Raw genomic sequence first — 24,362 nt, forward strand, 5'->3', positions numbered from 1 at the left:
TCTCTCACTCCTTGTGGTCAATCATATTTTCCATGGCGAATCACAATGGAACAAAGATTAACACTGGCAATAATTATATGACTCAAGTAATTTAGAAAATAATAAATTGTTCTTGCTTCCTCTGTTAATTTTTATATTGATCAACTTGGTATAGAGACTAAGAAAATCTTAGTTTCTAATATTTGTTATCAAAGTATATGACATTGGCCAAAAGCACAATGTTAGACTGTACTTTTTATAAATTTTATGATGAAAAATGACACATCTCTCTTAAAACTGTGACTTGTGTATCTTTTACTTTTTATGTGTTTGTCATACTGACAGATATTTTGAGGTTTTCTATTCTTGTTTTTCTTGTCAAACATCTGCATGAAAAGCCAGTAAGTATTCTGCACACTACAAAGTCATGGTTAAATAATTTCAAACTGTGCAGATAAAAATCGCGAAAGAAACACAACCATTCAGATATTTTCTACACTATGCCAATTTTCCGAATGGTAATTTCATTTTCATTTTTTAAAAAATATTTTATCATTCACTAAGCGGTATGGTATGTTTATTAAAAAACAGAACAAATCAGAGATAGGAAGAGAGATATGTAAGACTTCACAAATATCTACTGGTACACAGTGGTCTAATATTTACTTCCAATGTCAGATCTGGAAATCTCATCAGATAACCTATGTTGTTGCCCTCCAGGCCATAGAGTCAAAATTCTGTTCTTTCTTTGTGTAATCTCTTGATCGTATTCCTTCCTTGATCACACACATTTTCTGTATTTTTTTTAACAAAAGAGTTGGTAATCCATAATTTTTCTCATCCTTTATCTTATCTCATCTGTTTTTCTTATTGTTTTATGCCATCTTAAAACTGCTATTTTGTGATTTCATTGCTCATGAAAGTCATAAGAGAATTATGAAAAAGACATAGAGAGAAGAAATCATGAACACATTTTTAATTCATTGCTCTGGGATAAGAAAGAAACAACAACAAATAAAACCCGTTTAATGTCTCTGTCTTGTGGCCTGTTTTTTAACAATGTTGGTAATCCCAAAGGACAATTAAGTAGCCCAGTTTATAAAATGCTTTACCTAGCACAGCATACTCTGTAAGTTTCCATAAAGTGAAAGAACTTCTAGACATTGTTTCAATGATTTTTTTTCTTTCAGTCCTAAGTAAAATAAAACCTCAGTTTATCACCTTGTCTCTGAAAACTGCTTTTCTTATTTTCATTGTATTTATTTACCATAAGAAGATATACTAAGTTGTAAAATGGAGCCTTTGCATGTTTAATAAAAAGAAAATATATGACACCATATTTTAGAAATCTTGAAACTACATGTAATTGTAAGCCTTCAGAAGATAAACAACTTCAAAAAATTATGAGACAAAATTTTTGTCTTAGATTCTGATATCATCTCGCTCAGAGTACTGCAAATGCTTTTAAAAATATAATTGAAAGATTACATTAATAAAAAACTGTCTTGGTCCATTGCTATTTTTTTAAAAATACCCTCCAATAACTGAATATTTTAGTTCAATAAAATTATTTTAAAAATTCTACATATTCAATAAGAGCATTTCATGAAATTAGGGTTTCTACACCATTGGATTTTATCTACAAAAATGGTCATGGCTCTAGTAACTATTTTTTATAAAAACATTATGGCTAAACTCCAAAAATTACATATACTGTTTGTTAACAAGTGTCTAAATTTAATATGAGTGTAACTTTAAGTGCCCTTGATGAAAAACCAAAGAAAATGAATAAAATTTCAGTCTCATTTTATCTTAGCAGCATTCAAAATGAAACACTGGAAATGATTAGATACAAATTCCCTTCTAATAATAGAACTTTGCACATTTTGCATATTTTGCATTTTCCCCTCTACTAACATGTCTGATCCAATTTATTTCTAATCCCTTGCTTCTGTTTTTCCTGTTCTTCATTCTTCATTCTGTCTCAACTACCCACTTTGCCAGCCTTCTACTTACTTTTCATTCCATCTTTTTGAACCTATTTTTAAATGTAAGTAAGCTCCAATGTACTTCTGCTTTTCAAAATAAAAGAAAAAAACTCTTCTTAACTGCTTTAAATAAAACTAAGTTTTCTTGAATGGTAAAACTCTCACACATTTTTCTTCTGCAGTTTATTTAATGACATCCAATTAGAATGAATATTTTGTGCCTTGTCAATCTCTTACTACTTCCAGATAAATGTGCAGCAAAATAGCTTTGATTATATCCATATTTCTACATCTTAATCAATACTCTCCTTTTCACATTGTTCACTTCTTCCATTCTCTTGAATCAGATTTTTGCTACCATGACATTTCTCTGTGTCTCATTCAGCCACTCTTCACTCAGCTTTTTAGAGGCTTTCCAGAATCACATGCCTCTGCTTATGACCAGCCTTTTCAATAATGGCATTGCTTGAACACTTACTATAACCTTAACCAACTTTACCAATATCCAACTTGGGATATCTCTACAGCATGTTTCTGTGTTGTTGATTTTGAGCTGCACTTTGGATTCAGTGCATATACATGGGATCAATCCTTCAAGGATCCTCAGTGTTTACAGTTCCAGGAGTGTTTCACATAATTTTTATATTCTACAATTATTCCTCACCCTCACTAAAACAGTCAACGTATCTCATAACCTACATTGTAGAGCTTGAAGTCGTCCAGTATGAAGTGTTTTCATTTCCCTTTTCCTCGATATCTTTCCAGTTTTACTTATTAAAAGTATATCTCCTATTAATGTGTTGAATCCTCCTTGCTCATTTACTTTGAATTTTAATTTGTTAATATCTATACTTCTTCCATGGTCTTTAGATCTCCTCTCTTACTTGGCTGTTTGCTCATTTCCTGAATGTATGCTTAGTTCATCCATGCATTAAAATGTCGTCTACTTTCTCAAACCTTCTACTTCCTCATGCAACCGTTAAACTAGTCTGCTTCCTCTCCATGTCGAAGAACATAATGGAGTAATTTCTACCTGCTTATTGCATTTTATAGTCCCATTTGGCTTGCCTTTCATACTCAGTTGCCAAACCAACAAACTCAACAAGAACACCAACTTCCCTCTAATAGTGGGCTTTACTCCCAGTTCTTGAACACTTGGGGCTCAGTTTCTGTAATAGTTTACACTTTCTTGTCTTTGAGGAATGTGTTTTCTTGGTATGTAGATGTTGTTTTCTTAAAACGTTCTTTTCTAGTTCTCTCAGTGTGACTGTTTTTTGTTTTTATTTTTCATTTGTGTCTTCTCAGGTCTCTTCCTTTCTCTGTCTTAAAAGTAGACAGTGCCAGGATTCTATCTTTGGCTTTCTCTTCCTTTCTATCCAACCCTTTTACTATGCTGTAGCGTCTACTTTATCGTACGTATCCATCTTGATATATTATGATTATTGACAAATCAACATCCACAATGACAAATTAATCATTAATTTTCCTGAAATGGATATTCCATTCTTTATTTTTTTAAACTGCTGTATGTTTTTTAGAAAGCATCCAAGTGTTGAAATCTCCAAATCATCATTGAATTATTCCAACCCTTCTCGTAAAACCAATCTTTCCCTTTTTTTTTTTTTTTTTTTTTTTTTTTTTGAGACGGAGTCTCGCTCTGTCACCCAGGCTGGAGTGCAGTAGTGGGGCGATCTCGGCTCACTGCAAGCTCCGCCTCCCGGGTTCACGCCATTCTCCTGCCTCAGCCTCCCCAGTGGCTGGGACTACAGGCGTCTGCCACCACACCCGGCTAATTTTTTGTACTTTTAGTAGAGACAGGGTTTCACTGTGTTAGCCAGGATGGTCTCGATCTCCTGACTTTGTGATCCGCCCCCCTCAGCCTCCCAAAGTGCTGGGATTATAGGCGTGAGCCACTGCGCCAGGCCTGGGGTTTCTTATACAGTAAGAACATGTGTTAAGATTGTATTCTTTGCATTTTTCCATCTTTTTTTTCATACAAACTTTCTTCAAGTCAGTTAGAGGCATTCACATTGGCTAAGGGAAAAGTGGTACTGTTTTAGGCAGAGTAAAAAGAGGAAAAACATTTTTTTCTTAAAAAATATGGTCACTGTATATCAAAAAGAATGTTAGAGGAAAGTAGAAAATAAAGTTTATGCAAAAATTGTCGAATTCCAGTGAAAACGAAAAAGATTCACCCACTCTATTTAATGGACTAGGAAATAAGTGGATGATTACCAGGGTTGGGACAGAAAACAGATATAGGAATATGATCTGGAGGCAGGAGTGTTGGCTACGAAAAATGAGTGCATTTGGCATTGGGAGGAGGAGTGAGTTGGCCTCAGAAATTAACTGTCCCTCAGCCTATCAGTGCTGGGGAATCACATGGAAGCTAGGCCAATATTTTTTTGTGCCATTATGTCATTGCTTGTTAGCTTTGTAAGACTAATTGTTGTGGGGTGTGAGCTCAGGATTGAAAGTTGTCTGCAAATCACCATTACATCATCCAGAAGAACAATCACTTAGTCTGGAACACTTGGCTAACCCTCATCTGAATTGCTCTGTTTTTCTAATAATTCAGGATATTTGTAAGAACCTCTAACAAATGATTGAAAGATTTCCGTAAAAAAGGTGGTGGCAGTGTAGAAAGAAAATCTTAGTATTTATGCTTGGGCAAGTTGGGATAATATCCTCCTGCACATGGACTGTGAAACAAGCATCATTAGCTTGTGAATCTTGTGCAACTAAGTTTTATTGCGGACAAAATAGCACCCCTAAACGAGAAGCAATAATCTCTTTTTCTCTTTTATTGTCGTATCATTTTTTTCAGGGGATCCTGAAAGACTTAGGCTTCTCCTGAAATATTGATAGTAGGAATAACTACTAGCTAAGAGTGTACAGGTGGAGGTTAGAGACTTCCTTAAAATCAAACTAGATAAATGTGAAACTTTTCTAAAAAGTGAAATCTATTGAAACAAATAAACAAGCAAGTAAACTAGCTCTCTTGGGAATATCTGCTGTGCTATGTGTGCCAAATAAATTGTGGTTCTAATGCAACTTCATGCGTTTATATGCCTGGCCATTAACCCTTTATGAGTCCTTATTTCTGAATGGAGAGGGAGAGACATAGAAAATCATCCTTAAACTTGTCCCTACCCTCTAGCAACATCACACAATCCTCTTTAAATCCTCTTCATTCCCTGAGAAGGGAAAGAAAATCTACATTTAACTTATTAAATTTAACGGTAGACCTCTGCTCAGTGTCAAACATATTTTCTGACCAAGGAGTAAATATGATTTCATCATGAGGACATTATTTTGAGGAAATCATTTTTCCTATTACTGAAAAAAATGTGTTGATGTTAGAAAAAACTCTTCAATGCCAGGTGAAATGGTTTTGAACAACGGCTAGCGCGAATGAAAAAAAAAAAAGATGTTACTTGAATGAAAAGTCAATTTAAGAAACAGAGTACACTGTTGAAATGCTAGAATGGCTCAGCCTTTGAGATGATTAGTACCCTCAAATGAAACTGGTTTCCAGTGATCAAGTTCGAATGTGTGAGTAGCCTTGAGTAAGTTTCCATGTATAGAATTAGAGAGTAATACTGCCTTACTTCTAAATCCTTACCAGAAGGCAAGGAAACTGCACATATGTGATTAGGCTAGATAATCTCATGAGAAAGCACAGAGCAGAAGATGAGTAGACAGATAAGTACTCTGGAACTTCAGTTTAGTCTGGCCTTCACATTATGTTTACCTGGACAGCAAGTCTCCTTGTGGAACTCCTGCCCTCCCGTACTTTGTTGTTATTAATAGTGGTGTTGAAAGTGAATAAAGATGGTGCTTGTAATCATTTTGCATGTGGAGATCAGTCTGGTTTTACTAGTTTTATCTGATTGCTAACGTTGAATAAGAGATACCAATACAAGCAAGAATAAAAACAGTAATAGAAGCTTCTCCTACAAAACAATATGCCAAACTTCAAAAATGTTTTCGTTGTGAAAGACAAAGGAAGGTTTTGGAGCTCTTCCAGATTAAAAGAGACCAAAATGACATGGCAACTCATAGCAACATAAGAGCCTGAACTGGGTCTAGATCAGGGGAAAATGCCATTAATGATGTTATCAGGATAACTGTCTATAACCTGAATGAAGAAAGCATATTAGACAATATAATTTTATCAATGTTTAGTTTCCTTAGTTTGATAATGTTAGAGAATGTATTCTTGACTTTTAAGGTTACAAACTGAAGTTTTTGGTGGTAAAGAGGAATGCAGTCTACAATGTTTCTCTTTATTGTTTCCAGCATAAAAACAAAACAGCTTCCACTGAAGCTTTTCAGGGTTTTGGAAGCAGAGTGGGTGTGCTCCCTGAGACCCCCAGAAAGGCCACCTGCCAAGATGAAGGGCTTAATAACTAATTTTTATCTGTTATCTTTGTAGTGTCCCTGGGCAATACTTGAAGACTGCGAGAAAGAGATCAGAACTGGATGCACCTTCAGTAAAGTGCTGGAAGAGATAAAAGACACTAAACTTCCTGAGAGAAACTAAAGTAGTTTCCTATCATACTGTCCACTAGAATATTTTTTCCTCGGGCCAGACTGAAGGCAGCTGTGAAGCAGAGCCATTGAGAGAGAAATGAGAGATTGAGAGATCAGTGGTCCTATTGCAAATGACCACTGTACTGGAGTTGCTCACCAGCAAACATCTGAGCCATCTCCACTAGCAGTTGCTTGAGGGCTGCACCTACAGAGCTTTTAAGCTCAGAAAAGCTCAATAAAAGCTCAGAAAAATTTATGAAAGGATTATAAAGTGAAAACTTTTTACTCTCAATCTTGCATAGAGAGAAAAAGATATCCAGTGTAAAATTAGTTTTCCAAAGAATAATGATAAAAGAAAATAACAGGTGTGTTAAAGGAACTAAAATGATCTTGACAGTTTGCAAGAAATAATGAAGCAAATAGTATTATTCACTTTAATTATTCCATTTAGGATTTATAGCTTGGCAAAACAAACTGAAAAATAAGGAAAAGGAGGAAGAGTCCCTTTGCATCGCTGCCCAGATTTCTGTCAGATATGTCTAAGCACAGGCTTTCTCAACCAGGGCTGGCTAGCGGCCCTCGGGCTTTCAGATAAACACTGATTCTTAAGGAATTTCTCAGCAGCTTGGGGAGTGAGCAGTTTGCACTGGAGCTGACACAGGTGTGTATGTCATTAACCCCAACAAGATCTTCAGACAGAGAAGCCATATATAACTGTCCTAGCACTGCTCAGTAGCACCTCTGGGCATAGTAAGGAAGAGAATAATAGTGTTGGTGTATGGTATTATTTTCCCTTTCTAGAAAAATTTTCTGTCTGGGATTATCACAACTCTGCTACTATTAGAAAACATATATATACTTATATACACATTATTTCTCTTCCAAATTTTCTTATAGTGGTATGTTCTGAATGTGTAAAAACAATTCTTGTCTAACAGAATTTGAGTGTCTTACCAAGTATGTTGTCGGGGGTATTTATAAGGCAAATATTGGGTGCTCTTGTCTTATTCATCAGTAATTTAAAAATCTAATTTTTCAGAAAAAGATCTAGAACACTGATTAGTGGACATTACAAAAAAGATCATTAGTTTGCTGATTTCACCATATAACTAAGTCTTATCAACTGAATTATTATTTCTCAGAGGGAAAAGGAAGGTAATGTTTAAAGGAGGATCTCTGTTCAAGGGAATAATTTTTCTTTATTCTTGATATCTGAACAGAACCCAGCTAAGGATTTGGAGCTAATTGAAATGGTAAAATGTATAATATGGGTGAAAGATAAAGCAATTTATATTCATAAAAATATTTTAGAAGAAATAGAAGTCATGATTTTTAAGCATAAGTGAAGGAATTATCCTAGAATAATGTGTGTGTCAGAAGGTGAAAATGGTGACTATGTAGGTACAATTTCATGCCAAATATCTGTTTTCTCCATAAGTAGGAAGGGAATACCACCGCAGGTCTGAGTGAAGCCAGTCTTAGGAGCATGGCAGGTTGGAGTTGAAGGGAATAGGAGAGGTGGCTGGCATTTTATTTACAGAAACATCCTAATTTCTTCAATCTCTAAGCTTAAAAATAACAATTTCTCTTTATTAAAAATTTCTTAGTATATGAGTTACTTCTGTACAACTAAAATTTTGTAAGGCCCCCTTTGAGACCTTATGCCATTCTACTTTATTTATCCCCAATTTTCATATGTAACTTCAGACATCCCAGTAGTTAGGTATAAGGCAATTACACATTGACCCCTCTAACTGGCTTTCAGATACCAAATGAGCTACCATGAGCAGAATTATGACCATTTCAAGCTGTTTCCTAGTGACACTACCTGCAACCCAAGAACTCCTTTTTGTAGGTCATTATATTTATTAAAACACTTGCATTTGTTGGCTAGATGATTTAGTATTTTATTTTATTTTATTTTATTTATTTATTTATTTATTTATTTATTTATTTATTTATTTAGAGATGGGGTCTTGCTCTGTTGCCCAGGCTGGAGTGCAGTGGCATGATCTCGGCTCACTGCAACCTCCAACTTCCCATTTCAAGCAATGCTCCTGTCTCAGCCTTCTGAGTAGCTGGGACTACAGGCACGAGCCACCATGCCCAGCTAATTTTTGTATTTTTAGTAGAGATGGGGTTTCACCATGTTGGCCAGGATGGTCTTGATCTCTTGATTTCATGATCTGCCCACCTTGGCCTCCCAAAGTGCTGGGATTACAGGCATGAGCCACCGCACCCAGACAATATTTTAATTTTTAATGCTTTGTTTTGAATTTTTATAAAATTATTGGTATACAGAAAAATAAAAATAATGCCACTAGTTTTAAAAATCATCTCATAAACTTAATATGATAAGATAAAGCAGAAATAATGAAACAAATATTTGGTGTTTTAAATAGTGAACCTTTAACTATCAATTGCATTCTAATTTGAATTAAGCCAGATAATGTATCAATTTTGAGTAAAGTACATAAGCTAAAGAACAGGCACAGGATGCTAGAGCTAAAGAATTTTAAAAAATGTGTAAAGGAGGAGGCAGTGTTAATAAATTTTAATTTTTATGTAATTGTGTATTAACATGCATTTGAAATAGTACAGAGATTTGTTGTATTTTTTTACCCAGTTTCTTCAATAACTTTTTGTAATAATATACTAAAAAATCAAACCAAGAAATTGACATTGGTGAAATTCATTGGAATTATTCAGATTTCAACAGTATTCATGCACTCATAATTAAGGGATTGAATAATTCTTTTTTAAATTAATAAACTTTTTTAGAGCAGTTTTAGGTTCACAGCAGTGTTCAGCAGAACATACAGTTAGAATTCCCATATACCTCTGTTTCTAAACACCACAACCTTCCTCACTATCAACATCCCAAACCATAGTGATAAATTTGTTACAATCAATGGAAGTACATCTACAAATTGTTGTCAAAGCCCATAGTTTACATTAGGATTTACTTGAGGTGGCGTACATTCTATGGATTTAGATCAATGTTATAATGACTCCTATCCACTGCTGTAGTATCATACAGAACAGTTTCTCTGCCTTACAAATTTTCTGTGATCTGCATACTCATACCTTCCTGTCTGCTAACCTGTGGCAACCACTAATATTGTCATCATAATTTTGCTTTTTCCAGAATGTCATATAGTTGAAATCATGCCGTATGTAGACTTTTAAGATGGTTTATTTCATTTAGTAAAAGGCATTTAAATTTCCTTCTTGTCTCTTCATGGCTTGATAGCTAATTTCTTTTCATTGCTGAAAAATATTCTATTGCCTGATGTACCCCAATTTTTTATCTATTCATCCTATTGAAGGCCTTCTTGGTTGCATCCAACTTTTGACAATTGAGGATAACGCTCCAATAATAAACATCCATGTAATAGCTTTTGTGTGAGCGTAAGTTTTCAGTTCATTTGGGTAAACGCTAAAGAATGCAATGACTGGATCTTATATTTATTTTGTAAGAAACCACAATTCCAAGGGAGCTGCACCATCTTTCATTCTCATCCCCAATGAATGAGAGTTTCTGTTGTTCCACATCCTCACCACCATTTGGTGTTGTCAGTGTTTTGGATTTTGGCCATTCTAAAATATGTGTAGTGGGATACCAGTACTGTTTTAATTTGAAATTCCTAATTGCATACAATGTTGAACATCTTTTCAAATGCTTGCCATCTGTACATTTTTTGATGATGTATCTGTTCAGGTATTTTGCACGTTTCTTTTATCCATTGGTTTGTTTTCTTATTGTTGAATTTTAAGAGTTCTTTGTGTACTTTAGATAACTTCCTTTATCAGATGTACCTTATGCAAATATTTTCTTTCAGTCTATGGTAAAGTACAGCTTATCACTTCTTTCTTTTATGCATTGTACCTTTAGTGTCATATCTAAAAAGTTATTGCCATACCCAATGTCACCTATATTTTTTCCCATTTTATTTTCTAGAGGTTTTATAGTTTTCATTTTACATATAGATCTATGATCCACTTAAAATTAGTTCTTATGAAGGGTGTAAAATCTGCAGGTAAATTCATTTTATTGCATGTGGATGTCCAGTTGTTCCATCATCATTTGTTGCAAATGTCTTTATTCCTGGATTGCCTTTGCTCTTTCGTCAAAAATCAATGGGCTACAATTATTGTGTCAATTTCTGGGCTATCTATTCTATTCTACCAATCTGTCTCTTCTTCCTCCAATACAACACTGTCACTATTACTGGAGCCTTCTAGTAGTTCTGGAAGTCAAGTAGTGTCAATACTCCTACTTTGCTTTCCTCATTCAATGTTAATTTGGCCATTTGGGGTTGGATTTTCCATACAGACTTTAGATTTAGGTTGTCAATATCCACAAACTAACTTTCTGAGCTATTGTTTGGGATTGCATTTAATCTGTAGATCACGTTGGGAAGAATTGGAAACCTGACAATATTGAGTCTTCCTGCACATGAATATAGAATTTCTCTTCATTTATTTTGTCCTTCTTTTGTTTCATCAGAGTTTTGTAGTTTTTCTTTTATAGATCTTGTACATAGTTTTTTAGATTTATACCTCAGTATTTTATTTGGGCAGTACTAATGTAAATAGTACTGCATTTTAAAAAACTTTAAATTTTCTAAATTGTATTTATTATTTTTATAAATGTACTTAAAATTATTTATTGCATTCTCGTTGCCATCAGGTAAAATATACACACCTTATTAAGGTTTATCAATTGTATTATTTCTATTTCAGTGCTTCTCAAATGTTAAAGTGTGTTAGGAATCACCTGGGGATCTTGCTAAATGCAGATTCAAATTTAGTATGTGTTACGGTTTAAATGTATCCCCTCCCAAATTCATGTTGAAACTTAATCTCCATTGTGGTAGTATTAAGAGTGAGGCCTTTTGGGAAGTGATTAAGTTGTAATGTCTCCACCCTTGTAAATGGATTAGTGCCTTCTAAAAGCTAAGGAACTAGCTTAGGCCTGTTTTTGTTCCTCTTCCACTGCCACGTGAGGAAACAGTGGGGCATCGTCTCGAAGCAGACAGTAGCCTTTAACTGATGCTAGACCTGCTGGTGCTTTGCTTTTGGACCTCCCAGCTTCCAAAATGATGAGAAATTCATTTCTGTTGTTTGTAAATTATCCAATCTGTGGCACAGTGTCATAGCAGCACAAATTAACTGACACAGAAAGTCTGCAGAGACACCTGAGAGTCGACATTTCTATGAGCTCCTAGGTGATGCTGACCACTTCTGAACTCTCAATATATGCTTCATAATAAACTAAGGAAAATTATGCTGGAACTGTACTCACAAACGTTAACATTCAGTTGGACTGAAGTTTTTTCACAAGTTCACTGAATGGTTTGAGCCAGTTGTAGTCGATAGCTACTACCTGTTTCACTTTTTGCTTCTTTTAACTCACATTGTGCACTCTGGTGTTGTATCTTTAATTTCAAATTCCACTTTCTCATTACTGTTATAAAGGAAAGCGATTGTCTTTTGTATATTAACTTCGTATTCTGTAACCAACCTGTAACTATTTATTTTCCAGAAGTTATTTTCTGGATTCTTTTTAATTTTCTACATAATCATGTTTTCTACAAAGATAGTTTTATTTCTTTTTTCCTGTTAGGTCTAACATTCATTTGTTTTTCTTATCCTATTTGATTAGCTAAGACTTCCAACAAAATGTTGAAAAGCTCTGGTGGGAGGGGACATCCTTGTCTTTTTCTTGATCTTAGGAAAAATGCTTTAAGTTTCTTATTAAGTATGATGTTCACTATAGGCTTTTTGTAGATGATCTTATTCAAGATGTGAAAGTCCCCTTCTATTCTTAGTTTGCTGAGGGTGAGTGTTAGATTTTTGTCAAGTGCATTTTCTGCATTGATTGATATGATCATACGATTTTTTTTCTTTTTAGATTGTTGATATGATGGATTACATTACTTGATTTTCCAATGTTGAACCAGCCTTGCATGGCTGAGATAAATCTCATTTGTATGTGATGTATTATTTTTTGTATGTATTATTGGATTTGATTTGCTAATATTTTGTTGATGATTTTTGCAACCATGTCATGATAGACATTTGTCTGTAGTTTAATAATTTCTTCTTCTGGTTTTAATAGTAGAGCGATGGTTACCTCATACAATGAGTTTGGAAGTATTCCCCTCTGCTTATACTTTGTAGATTAGACTGCAAAGAATTGGCATAATTTCTTCCCTAAATATTTGGTAGAATTCACTAGTGAACATATCTGGGCCTGGTGTTTCCTCTCTTTAAAAGTTGTTAATTATTGATTAAATGTTTTAAAAGATATAGACCAATTAATATCTATATCTTCTTATGTGAACTTTGGCAGATAATTATGTCTTTCAAGGAATTGATTCATTTCACCCAGTCTATCAAATATGTGTGCATAATTTTGCTCATAGCATCCCTTTATTATCACTTAAATGCCTGTGGGATTTTAATGCTGTCTTTCTGTCATTTCTCTTATTAGAAATTTGTGTCATCTTTCCAACCCACAGAGTAGGAGAAAATCTTCACAATCTATTCATCTGACAAAGGACTAATATCTAGAATCTACAAGGAACTCACAAAATTATCAAGAAAAAAACAAACAATCCCATCAAATAGTGTGCTAAGAATATGAATAGATGATTCTCAAAAGAAGATATACAAATGGCCAACAGACATATGAAAAAATGCTCAACATCACTAATTATCAGGGAAATGCAAATCAAAACCACAACGAAATACCACCTTACTCCTGCAAGAATGGCCATAATAAAAAAATCAAAAAATAACTGATGTTGACATGGATGCAGTGAAAAGGGAACACATCTATACGGCTAGTGGGAATGTAAACTAGTACAACCACTATGGAAAACAGTATAGTTTCCTTGAAGAACTAAAAGTAGAACTACCATTTGATCCAGCATACCATTTGATCCAGATAGTGGGTATCTACCCAGAGGAAAAGAAGTTATTATACAAAAAAGATACTTGCACAAGCTTGTTTATAGTAGCACAGTTCACAATTGCAAAAATATGGAACCAACCCAAATGCCCATCAATCAATGAGTGAATAAAGAAACTGTGTGTGTGTATATATATATATATATATATATATGAATACTACTCAGCAATAAAAGAAATGAATTAATGGCATTTGCAGCAACCTGGATGGGATTGGAGGCTTGTTTTAAGTGAAGAAACTCAGGAATGGAGAATCAAACATCTTTATGTTCTCACTCATAAGTGGGAGCTAAGCTATGAGGATGATACGATGGACTTTGGGGACTCAGTGGGGAAAGGGTAGGAAGGGTGTGAGGGATAAAAAACTAAAAATTGGGTTCAGTATATAATGTTCAGGTGATGGGTGCACCAAAATCTCACAAAATCACCACCAAATAACTTACTCAGGTAACCAAATACCACTGTTTTCCAAAAACCTATGGAAATAAAAATAAATAAGTAAATAAATAAATAAACTACAATAAGATATCATCTTTCCTCATTTAAAGTGGATTTTATCCAAAAGTAAGGCAATAACAAATGCCTGCCAGGATGTGGAGAAAAGGGAACCGCTGTACAGTGTTGGTGGGAATGTAAATTCATACAACCACTATGGAGAACAGTTTGGAGGTTCCTCAAAAACTAAAAATAGAGCTACCATAAAAAAAAAAGAAATTTGTGTCACCTTTGTTTTCTGCTTTGTTAATCTGACAAGCAAGTAATCCATCTTATGGACCTTCTCAAAGAATCAGCCTTTGGTTTTGTTGATTTTCTGTATTGATTCCTTGTTTTCATTTTCATACATTTCTAACTTTTATTATTTATCTTCTTCGGCTTACATTGAATTTAATTTGCTTTTCTTTTTGTAGCTTCCTGGGTGGACACTTAGATTAATAATTTTACATTTTTTTCTAATATAATTATTCAGTGCTATAAATTGTACTCTCATCACTGCTTTTACTGCATTTCACAAATTTTGATAAGTTGTATTTTCATTTCAACTTACTTCTATACATTTTTTAAATGTCTCTGAGATATTTTTTATTGACCTATATGCTCTGTGTGCTATAGAAAGGTATGTCATTTAATCTCCAAGCATTTTGAGATTTTTCTGGCTATCTTTCTGTTATTTGTCTCTAGTTTAATTTCATTGTGGCCTTAGAGCAAACATTGTTGTTTAGTGGTACTGTTGACTTAAACTCTGTTCCTACTGATTTACTGCTTGCTGGTTCTGTCTATTTCAGATACAGGGGTGTCATTGTCTCCAACAATAATATTGGATTTATCTACTTCTCCTTATGGCTATACCAGTTTTTGCCTCAAATATTTTGATGAAGCTCTGTTTTTGGGTGTATAAACATTAAGAATTAACTCTTCTTTGATTATTAACCAAATTATCATTATGTAGTACTGTCTTTATCCATGACATTTTTCTTTCTCTGAAGTATGCTTTTCTATCTGAAATTAAAAAAATGAAACAAAACCTGATTTTTTACCTTTAGTAAGGCTTGTAATTTTGTCATCAAACATAGACATGATGTAGTAGAGAAAAGGAACTGTGGTATAAGGCTTTAGTAATGTCATAGTAAGGTTTGCGGGGAGAGAAAATATTATATAGTTTTACGGATAGGTCTGAGGCTTTGTTGAGCCTGTGACTCTGGACTGTTATCACCAACCAGTTCTGCTTCAGTCCCCCACACCACCAAGTGAGGTGAGACAGATAGAGTGGGCTTCTGTTGGGTATTTCCTTTCTCCTAAGTAAGTCTCTGATGGAACCTCAGCAGGTTAAGTTCTAGTAAAATAATTTATCCTGAAGGCAAGCCTTGTTTATGGGGACAGGATGTAATGGCATATTTCAAAATGGTTTGCTTTTCCTTCCCTTTGCTGGAACCACAAAACTTTTTTTTCTCTGTTATTCTCTGTGAGGTCCTGTAAGAGCTCCTGGAGGTAAAGTTCACAAAAGTGTAGGGCTCCCCATGAGTGGAGTTTTTCTCTCACATATTTGTTCACACTAATTCTCCAGCAACTTGTCGATTCCGGTACTGGTTTTTCTACCCCAAGACTGGTTCGTCTAGAGGTGTCCGTTTGTGGGTTTCTGCTCTGTAAATTGTGATTCTTGTATTTGCCTGTCTGTCTCAAATTTTTGGTGCAAAGTTTGCCCTATGACTTCATTTCTCTGACAAATTTAAAAAGACTTGCTGATTTTTTAGTTTGTTCAGCTTTTTACTTGTTGTTAAGATGGAATAGCAAATTCTAAGCCCCTTATCTGCTGGACCAGAACCCAGAAATCTGTACTTTATTTTTTAACTACAAAAAAAATGGAATCTTCCACGTGAAATGTGAAGTCTACGGAATGTTTTTAATATTTGACTTGCAGTTCTTTTCAGGAACTCATTATATTGGAAAGTATAAGAATAGCTTTATTCTGAATTTATTTTAACATTTTCCTATTGAAGATGTTGCAATTTCAGAATTTATTTTATAAATCACGTCCATACTATCTCATATTGACAATAAGAATATTCAGCAACACTAGTGTTGTTTACTGCATTCAAGAAATTAATTACTAGGTATGTTATGGGGATGTGATCAAGTTACAGTATATATCTTGTTTAAGTATCTGATATACTCAATGTATGTTGTCTTAGTCCATTTAGTATTGTTATAAGAGAATACCCAAGGCTAGGTAACTTATAAAGAAAAGAGGCATATTTGGCTGAAGATTCTCATGGATGATAAGTCTAAGGGCATGGAACTGGCATCTGCTTAGCTTCTGATGAGGAGCTGGTGCTGCTTCATAACAGCAGAGAAGAAGAAAGATAAGTGGACATGAGCAAAGAGAGATGCACTAGAAGCTGCACTCACCTATAACAACTTGCTCTCAGAAAAACTAATCCCTTTCCACAAAAGTGAGGACTCGCTCACTCCTGAGAAGTGGCATTAATCTATTCATGAGGGTGGTACCCTCATCATCTAAACATCTCCCACTAGTAATCCCCACTTCCACCAACACTGCCATATTGGGAGTCAAATCTTAATATGATTTTCAGAGGGGCATAATCAAACTGCTGCATATATTTTCTCCATTCTTTGTGATTATTTTGTTTATATACTTATCCTTATAAAACATTATTTGCAATGGTGCAAGCCACATATCATTGAATATAAAATAAACTGCAAATCTCTAGGTTGCGATAGTCCAGGAGGTATGTGTCAGTCTAAAGTAGGAAGCAAAAAATAATGACAGGAGTTAGAGGGGTAATATTTTTATGTAGTGTTAAAATCTAAATTATTCTTCTTCCAGGCAAAATCCCGGATGTACTGCACAATCTTTTTTTTTTTTTTTTTTTTTGAGACTTTGTCTCACTCTGTTGTCAGGCTGGAGTGCAGTGGTGCGATCTTGGCTCACTGCAACTTCTGAGTCCTGGGTTCAAGTGATTCTCTTGCTTCAGCCTCCTGAGTAGCTGGGACTATAGGCACCCACCACCACTCCCGGCTAATTTTTTTGTATTTTAGTGGAGACTGGGATTCACCACGTTGGCCAGGATGTTCTTGATCTCCTGACCTTGTGATCTGCCCACCTTGGCCTCCCAAAGTGTTGGGATTTACAGGCGTGAGCCACTGCGCCCGGCCAGAATCTATTTTGTTACTGAAGTGAAACATGAAGTGACAAGTCCTTTCTTTTTGAGGGATGTAGCAGCAATTTATAATTTATAGAGTATGTTAATGGTATATGTATGGCACATTAAGATCCTGAATCTAATGTGTGAACTTTCAAAAAATACAAAACCTCGAAACAAAAGCATTAAAATTCAAAATCGTAAGGTTGGGAAACGGAAGGATGTGAAGTTAAAAAGAAGATCATTGGACAATATAGAACGGGAATGATTTAAGAACAAGAGAACCTGCAGAGGCTGAGAATAGAGATTCAGTACATAGATTGTGAAGTACAAAATAAGAAAAATTCTTTACAGAATTGTGCCTGAATAAAGACTGGTGGAAATTTAAGCATAGCACAGTATTCAGACAACTATATGCCTGTTTTTAAGAACTAGCACTATGAAAACAAATATTCTAAAAGCTTTACTCAGCTATAATGTTCGACTTTCTCAAAAAACTTTCCTCAGTAACATATCTTTACTCCTTTGTATTTACTTCACATTAAATCAAGTTGAAATTTTTATACCCTTTGGTTTCCCATCCTCAGTATACACATGAAACTTCAACATTTATCTTACTTAGGATGCAGTTAAGCTTAAATGAACTAGAACTAACAAAGATAAGCCGATTAAATATGTGAGTAATTATCAATCTTTCACATAGCATTTTTTTTCTTTCATAAGATTAAATGGGTACAACAAAAACGCTAGTTTAAAAGCTACAGATTATTTCTCATTATATCTTCTCTTAGTAAGATTTCTCTATTAGAGTTACAATTAAGGTATTTCTCACATAGTAACAAAACATGTATTACTTTCTAGACTTATTATCTTGCCTTTGGCTATATCATAGTTTAAGCAACTAGGTGAGATTGGAAGAATAAAAGATAAACAAGTAAATCTGCTGGAAAATAATTTGGTAACATAATAGAAATGGCAAAACAAACAAATAAAAAATCTAAGATGTAGAACATATGGATAAAAACCACAAAATTTGAGTAGATGTTAATGAATATATTTATTATTTGTCTCCATGACAATGTGCATGATTTAATGTCGACATGTATTTATTCATTATGCAAATATATTCATTTAGGCTATGCCATTTTAATTTCAGTCATTAAAACTTTATGTAAGAGCCTTCTTTATGTTTACAATTTGTGCTTTCAGTTTGGGGAAAGCTTCTCCAATAGTATATCTTTAAGCACAGCAAAGATAAGATTATTTAAGGCAGACTGAGTTATTCATTCAGATGAGTTGTAATTTTCACAAATGACAACAGAAGTGTATTTGGAAGTACTTCATACAAAAAGCTATAGAAAACTTTCTCATAACTTTCCAAAAGTTGTAAGAGGCCCTCAATAACTTCATCTTCCTTCAGATTTTTTTTTCTGTGGAGCTGTGAATCATTTCCTTCAACTGCAAATGTAAATGTGCCATTTTAATGAGTGAACTAATTGGTGAAAAATGAATGACACAGATATATGTGAAACGCTTAATTGTCAATATTAGAGAAATAAAAATTAAAACCTCAAGGAGATAAATCATAGTAGATACATTTCTACTAGTTTGTGTAAATTAGATGTGTGAAAATACCAAGTTTGGGTGATGATATGTAATAATGGGAATATAGGGTGTATTGTTACCAGCACTGAAAAAAACCTGATAATATCTAGTAAATTTGAAGATAATAATTCCCTATGACCTGGAATTCCACTCTTTGGTAGGTAACCTAAAGAAATTCTTTTATTCAGGACCCAGGAGACATGTATAAGGATGCTCATAAGCTTGTTGAGATGAGCCTCCGTATAGTAGCATCTTAATTTTCTTGCCACACAAAATGTATAAATAAAATTTGATACAATATAACAGTGAAAAAAACTACAACTACCTGCAACAAAATATAAAAAGCTAAAAAAAAAATAATGCTGAAAGTATACGTAAGTCGCTGAAAAATTTGGTAAAATAATTTCATTTACTTAAAAGTCAAATATATATCAATACAGTGGTGGCCTCTGGGAATAAATGTAAGGAGCATGAGACCAGGAAGGAGCTCATAGAGAAATTCAAACTTACTAAAAATTTTCTGTTTCTTAAGTTACATCCTGCCTATATTGATTAATCTTTAAATGGCAAGAAATAACACAGAGAATAATCACTGACAGAAGAGATGCACACAAGGTAAGTCTCACATTCACCTAAGCTTTTCCCCAGAAGTAAATCCACACACAGAAACATTTGAAAATTAAGAAAAGTGGAAAAAATAGATTGCTGTCTCATTATATAAAAAATAAATTTCAGGGTAATTCAAACTTACATGTGAAGAGCAAAACTTTAAGTGCTGTAGAAGAACAATAAGAGGTCATTTTGTGGTCTTAGAGTGAGGAAGATTTCTTAACTAAGACATCATGTGCACAAACTAAAAATCCTTGAATATATTAACAGTTAAGTATATATGCATCTCAAAAAATCATTTAAAAAAGAAGTTATTTTGTGAATACCTACAAATGATTTCAAGTTTACATGGAGAGGCATAAGAGCCAGAGTAACTAAATCAACATTGAATAGGAAAAACAAAGTAGAAGGAGTGATACTACCTGACTTCCAGACTTCTTATAAAACTGTAGTAATCAAGGCAACGTAACATTGGCTAAAGAATAGACAGGTAGATTTACAGAACTGAATAGGGAGCCAAGAAATAAACCCACAGATATAGTCAACTGGTCTTTGACAAATAAACAGGGGAAACACAATGGAGAAAAGATATATTTTTCCAACAAATTATGCAAGAACAGCTGGATATCTGGAAACAAGAAAATGAATCTAGACACAGACCTTACCATGCAAATTACCTCAAAGTGCATTATAGGCATAAAGGTAAAACCAAACCATAAAACTTTTAGAAGATAATTGAAGAGAAAATTTAGGTGACATTGAGTATGGCAATGACATAGATACCATGCAAAAGGCATAATTCATGAAAGAAAAAATGTGAAAAGTTTGAAAAGACAAGCCACAGACTGGACAAAATATTTGCAAAAGACATATGAGATACAGGACTGAAATATGTGAAGAACTCTTAAAATTCAACAAAAAGAAAACAATCTGATAACAAAAAAAGGGGCCAAGAACTGAACAGACACCTCCCCAAGAAGATATACACAGAGCAAATAAGCTTGTGAAAAGACATTGTAGGCCAGATGTCATCAGTGAAATTCACTTTAAAACAACAATGAGATACTACTACACACTACCAGAATGCCCAAAACTTAGAACAGTGACACCACCAAATGCTGTTGAGAATGTGGAGTAACTGTCACACTCATTTATTGATACTGGGAATGGAAATTGGCATGATCACTTTGGAATATAGTTTGGTGGTTCCTTACAAAACTAAAAATATTCTTACCATATGATCCAGCAGTTGTGGTCCCTGGTATTTACTCATAGGAACTGATAACGCATAGCCACACAAAAGCTTGCACATAGATGTTTATAACAATTTGATTCATAATTGCCAAAACTTGAAAGCAACCAAGGTGTCCTTTAGTAGGTGAATATAGAAATAAAACGTGATACATCTAGACAATGGAATATTATTCAGCACTGAAAAGCCATGAGCTATCCAGTCATGAAAAGACATGGAGGAAACTTAAATGCACTTCACTAAGTGAAAGAAATCAACCTGAAAAACCTAAATACTGTATGATTCTAATAAATCATATTCTGGAAAGGGCATAACTATGGAAACGGTAAAAAAAAAAGTCAGTGGTTCTCAGGATTTAGCAGAGAGGTTATAGATGAATAGGCAGGGCATAGATGATTTTTAGAGGAGTAAAACTTCTGTGTGATACTACAATTGTGGATATAAGACATTACACATTTGTCAAAACCCATAGAATATACAACACCAAGAGTGAACCCAAATGTAAACTATGGACATTGGGTAAAAATAATCTGTCAATGTAGTTTAATTAGTTGTAACAAATGTACCACTCTGATAGGGGATGTTGACAATGGGAGAGGTTATGCATGTGTGGGAACAGGCAGGGGCATATGGTATCTCTTCCTCTCAACTTTGCTGTTATCCTAAAATCACTCTAAACTATAGTCTTTTTAAGTGTTCTAAAAACAAACAAACAAAAAACCTATTGAATGATGAGATGAGAATGTCACTTTACTGCTGTGTTCTTCCTCCCCAAAACATATAATCCCAGTCTACAAAACATCTGACCAATTATCTTCACAGCAATCAAGGTAATCAAAAACAAGGAAAGCCTCAAAAACTGACACAGGAAAGAAGAGCCGAAGGATACCTGACAATTAAAGGTAATATGGTATCATGCATGGGATCCTGGAATAGAAAAAAGGACAGTAGGAAAAACTAAGAAAATCTGGATAAAGAATGGGCTTTAGTTAATACTAATGTATCAATATTGGGTTACCAATTACACCCAGTCTACCATATTGACATACAACTCGAACAGTAGACCTCTTCTGAGCCAACTATCCCTTGAAACTACCTTATCCCTTGAAAATATCACACTTTCTTTAACTGATGATCAATTAAAAAACAATTGAGGACCTACCAATTTTCCATTTAAAATAAATCTGTTTACTCATATTAGTGAACACGTGTTATATGTGGTGTTAATCAGAACCTGAACTATATAACTGAAAGAACTGGAAGACAAAAATATAATTTTCCCTATTGTATTCTTAAGATTCAGAACTCCATTTTCTCCCCCAGAAAAAATTCTCTAAAACTGCATCTAGAAGTCTGTAGTAAGTTATATAAAAATTAAATTTTCGATACCTGAGGGAGGAGCCAAGATGGCCGAATAGGAACAGCTCCAGTCTACAGCTCCCAGCGTGAGCGACGCAGAAGACGGGTGATTTCTGCATTTCCATCTGAGGTACCGGGTTCATCTCACTAGGAAGTGCCAGAGAGTGGGCCCAGGTCAGCGGGTGCACGCACCGTGCACGAGCCAAAGCAGGGCGAGGCATTGCCTCACTTGGGAAGCACAAGGGGTCAGGGAGTTCCCTTTCCTAGTCAAAGAAAGGGGTGAAGGACGCACCTGGAGAATCGGGTCACTCCCACCCGAATACTGCGCTTTTCCGACAGGCTTAAAAAATGGCGCACCACGAGATTATAACCCGCACCTGGCTCGGAGGGTCCTACGTCCACGGAGTCTTGCTGATTGCCAGCACAGCAGTCTGAGATCAAACTGCAAGGCGGCAGCCAGGCCGGGGGGGGGGGGCGCCCGCCATTGCCCAGGCTTGATTAGGTAAACAAAGCAGCCAGGAAGCTCAAACTGGGTGGAGCCCACCACAGCTCCAGGAGGCCTGCCTGCCTCTGTAGGCTCCACCTCTGGGGGCAGGGCACAGACAAACAAAAAGACAGCAGTAACCTCTGCAGACTTAAATGTCCCTGTCTGACAGCTTTGAAGAGAGCAGTGGTTCTCCCAGCACGCAGCTGGAGATCTGAGAATGGGCAGACTGCCTCCTCAAGTGGGTCCCTGACCCCTGACCCCCGAGCAGCCTAACTGGGAGGCACCCCCCAGCAGGGGCACACTGACATCTCACACGGCAGGGTATTCCAGCAGACCTGCAGCTGAGGGTCCTGTCTGTTAGAAGGAAAACTAACAAACAGAAAGGACATCCACACCAAAAACCCATCTGTACATCACCATCATCAAAGACCAAAAGTAGATAAAACCACAAAGATGGGGAAAAAACAGAACAGAAAAACTGGAAACTCTAAAAAGCAGAGCGCCTCTCCTCCTCCAAAGGAACACAGTTCCTCACCAGCAACGGAACAAAGCTGGATGGAGAATGACTTTGACGAGCTGAGAGAAGAAGGCTTCAGACGATCAAATTACTCTGAGCTACGGGAGGACATTCAAACCAAAGGCAAAGAAGTTGAAAACTTTGAAAAAAATTTAGAAGAATGTATAACTAGAATAACCAATACAGAGAAGTGCTTAAAGGAGCTGATGGAGCTGAAAACCAAGGCTCGAGAACTACGTGAAGAATGCAGAAGCCTCAGGAGCCAATGCGATCAACTGGAAGAAAGGGTATCAGCAATGGAAGATGAAATGAATGAAATGAAGCGAGATGGTAAGTTTAGAGAAAAAAGAATAAAAAGAAATGAGCAAAGCCTCCAAGAAATATGGGACTATGTGAAAAGACCAAATCTGTGTCTGATTGGTGTACCTGAAAGTGATGGGGAGAATGGAACCAAGTTGGAAAACACTCTGCAGGATATTATCCAGGAGAACCTCCCCAATCTAGCAAGGCAGGCCAACGTTCAGATTCAGGAAATACAGAGAATGCCACAAAGATACTCCTCGAGAAGAGCAACTCCAAGACACATAATTGTCAGATTCACCAAAGTTGAAATGAAGGAAAAAATGTTAAGGGCAGCCAGAGAGGAAGGTCGGGTTACCCTCAAAGGGAAGCCCATCAGACTAACAGCTGATCTCTCGGCAGAAACCCTACAAGCCAGGAGAGAGTGGGGGCCAATATTCAACATTCTTAAGGAAAAGAATTTTCAACCCAGAATTTCATATCCAGCCAAACTAAGCTTCATAAGTGAAGGAGAAATAAAATACTTTACAGACAAGCAAATGCTGAGAGATTTTGTCACCACCAGGCCTGCCCTAAAAGAGCTCCTGAAGGAAGCGCTAAACATGGAAAGGAACAACGGGTACCAGCCGCTGCAAAATCATGCCAAAGTGTAAAGACCATCGAGACTAGGAAGAAACTGCATCAACTAACGAGAAAAATAACCAGCTGACAGCATAATGACAGGATCAAATTCACACATAACAATATTAACTTTAAATGTAAATGGACTAAATGCTCCAATTAAAAGACACAGACTGGCAAATTGGATAGTCAAGACCCATCAGTGTGCTGTATTCAGGAAACCCATCTCACGTGCAGAGACACACATAGGCTCAAAATAAAAGGATGGAGGAAGATCTACCAAGCAAATGGAAAACAAAAAAAGGCAGGGGTTGCAATCCTAGTCTCTGATAAAACAGACTTTAAACCTACAAAGATCAAAAGAGACAAAGAAGGCCATTACATAATGGTAAAGGGATCAATTCAACAAGAAGAGCTAACTATCCTAAATATATATGCACCCAATACAGGAGCACTCAGATTCCTAAAGCAA

The 24,362-nt window shown here is 35.4% G+C and overlaps 1 protein-coding gene across 3 annotated transcripts in view; it reads right to left on the reverse strand.

The window, feature by feature from the left end:
* Positions 1 to 22,386, reverse strand: part of SEMA3D (semaphorin 3D) — a 254,691-nt gene extending 232,305 nt beyond the window's left edge. The window contains exons 1-2 of one of the 3 annotated variants that reach the window (NM_001384901.1): positions 22,343 to 22,386; positions 21,996 to 22,112 (exon numbers count right to left, since the gene is read on the reverse strand). The gene's annotated coding sequence lies outside the window, so the exon portion shown is untranslated. Of the gene's footprint in view, positions 1 to 21,995; positions 22,302 to 22,342 lie in introns of those variants that run through there. The other 2 variants (NM_001384903.1, NM_001384902.1) reach the window with 2 other exon arrangements.

This window comes from Homo sapiens, chromosome 7 (genome assembly GCF_000001405.40).
Source record: "Homo sapiens chromosome 7, GRCh38.p14 Primary Assembly".
Lineage (NCBI taxonomy): Eukaryota > Metazoa > Chordata > Mammalia > Primates > Hominidae > Homo > Homo sapiens.